Source organism: Homo sapiens, chromosome 5, assembly GCF_000001405.40.
Source record: "Homo sapiens chromosome 5, GRCh38.p14 Primary Assembly".
Classification (NCBI taxonomy): domain Eukaryota; kingdom Metazoa; phylum Chordata; class Mammalia; order Primates; family Hominidae; genus Homo; species Homo sapiens.
In genome coordinates this window covers 166617331-166619652 of record NC_000005.10, presented here as the reverse complement: position 1 = coordinate 166619652, position 2322 = coordinate 166617331, and the positions used below count along the sequence as shown (strand labels likewise).

At 42.5% G+C, this 2322-nt stretch overlaps 1 annotated feature.

Annotated features, from left to right (window-relative positions):
• Positions 609-1155: an enhancer, noted in NCBI's record as "OCT4-NANOG hESC enhancer chr5:166045503-166046049 (GRCh37/hg19 assembly coordinates)". NCBI's record gives its function as "activates a minimal SCP1, AML or CMV promoter by ChIP-STARR-seq in primed H9 embryonic stem cells {active_cell/tissue: H9 hESC(primed)}" and the evidence as "EXISTENCE:reporter gene assay evidence [ECO:0000049][PMID:30033119]".

Genomic DNA, 2322 nt, shown 5'->3' with positions numbered 1-2322 from the left:
CTCTTCCTTTATGGCTTAACATGTCTCTTTTTGGCTTTTTGCTTCCTTGAGTCTTCCAGGCAGGATCAAATAAGCTGTATAAGAGAGATTGTGGCCGAGCACAGTGGCTTACGCTTATAATCCCAGCATTTTGGGAGGCTGAGACAGGCGGATCAACTGAGGTCAGGAGTTAGAGACCAGCCTGTCCAACATGGTGAAACCCCGTCTCTACTAAAAATACAAAAATTAGCAGGGCATGGTGGTGCATGCCTGTAGTCCCAGCTACTCTGGAGGTTGAGGCACGATAATTGCTTGAACCTAGGAGGTGGAGGTTGCAGTGAGCTGAGATCGCGCCATTGCACTCCAGCCTGGGTGACAGAGCGAGACTCCATCTCAAAAAAAAAAAAAAAAAGAAAAGAGAGAGAGATCATCATGTTATCTCAGATGATTCAAGGTAAAATGTAGGTTACATTTATTGAAGGACTTAGTGTGTTCTGGTAAGGACTCCTCAGTTGTGATGTATGCCCAAGACATATGTGTATTTGTGCCTCTTTAGATTGCATCCTGCTGAGGCCAGCAAGAGTGAGAGGATGCCTAGAGTTTTAAGTACCAAAGAAACTTTTCAAAATGTGTTTGTTCCCCCGGTATAGACACCCTTATCATCACAGAGTTGTTCTTATTAAGTATCAATTTTACATGACTGTGTTGAGGCCAAGCAAAAAGCCCATGACCTATACCTTCTTGAGCTTGATTACTAGGCTCTTCAAAAAGGTCGCTCATTTGTTGTCCCTTTTATGAAGTATGTGCTCCCGAGAAGTAGTTAGCGTCAAGCAGCTGTTATTAATCGACTCTCTGAAGGATTTCCCTGGAAGCTGGCCACCTGCTGAGGTGACTGAATTTCCCAAAGGGAACTAAGCTAAGCCTGAGCCTGGCTTCCACGTTCCTTATTGTATCCTTAAGCATGCCTGAATTAAAATGAGTCCTATGCAGCTGGGCAGATCATGCAGAGCTGCTTCATTTCATATGTAATGGAGCAGAGTACAGACTCCACTCCACAGCCTCAGTCTGACCCCCATGAAGCACTCTTCCAACTCTTGTCAGGCTTGCCAAGGGAGGTATTTCCAACTATTAATAGATTTTTCTTCCACTAGGTGACTGGGTGGCCCTAGACCAAGGAAATAACTTTGATTTTGCATTTTGTTGTTGTTTTTGAGATGGAGTCTGGCTCTGTTGCCCAGGCCGGAGTGCAATGGTGCTATCTCAGCTCATTGCAACCTCCACCTCCCAGGTTCAAGCAATTCTCTTGCGTCAGCCTCCCAAGCAGCTGGGATTACAGGCGCCCACCACCTTGCCTGGCTAATTTTTAGTATTTTTAGTAGAGATGGCATTTCACCATGTTGATCAGGTTGGTCTTGAATTCCTGGCCTCAAGTGATGTGCCTGCCTCGACCTCCCAAAGTGCTGAAATTACAGGTGTGAGCCACCACGCCCAGCCAATTTGACTCGTAGAGTTTAATAAAATAATAATTAGAAATTTTTTCCAGAGAAGCAACATAATTTGACTTTCATTTTAACAGAATTTTTTAAATTTGGGGGCAGGGAGTCTCTATTTCTCTTACTAAAATTCCAATTTAAACTAACATTATTTAATGCTTGGACCACTCACTGCTTCTACTTATTCCACTTCCATTGCTGTATTGATTCCCTTGCCCCCAGCATTTTATTAGGAAAATTTGCAAAGATACAGAAAAGTTCAAATAATTGTATAGTTAAAAACCTGTGTACACACCACCTAGATTCTACAATTAATGTTCATATTGGTTTTGAAAATTCGTAAGTTAGATCAATCACACTATTCCCCCAGTGAACATCTTCTTCCTAACTCTGAATAATATCCTGATTCTTTGCCATAGTCCAGCAGACTCATCCTGATTTGATTTCTAGCTACCACATTACGTCATTTCTTCCCCCTCCCCACCTCTGTTGCTGGTTTCCAGCCACACTGCCATTTTTTATATTCCTCAAAAACATCGAGTTTATCCCTGACTCAAGGCCTTTATTTTCTCTCTTCTACTAGATCTTCCCCTGATCATCTCCTTCTCCTCCTCCTGGTCTCAGTCTAAATGCACCTCCTCAGAAACCCTTCCATTGCCTTCGCCTTTGAAATATATTTTCTGCACCCTGTCCCTCTCTACCATGCTACCATACTTGATTGCATTTATAGCACCTACCACTCTGAGATTGTCTTACATGTTTGCCTTTGTGTTAATTTCCCTTTATCTCATTTCATTAAAATGTTAGCTCTATGAGAGCAAGGCCCTTGTCTGTTTTAAACATATCCAAA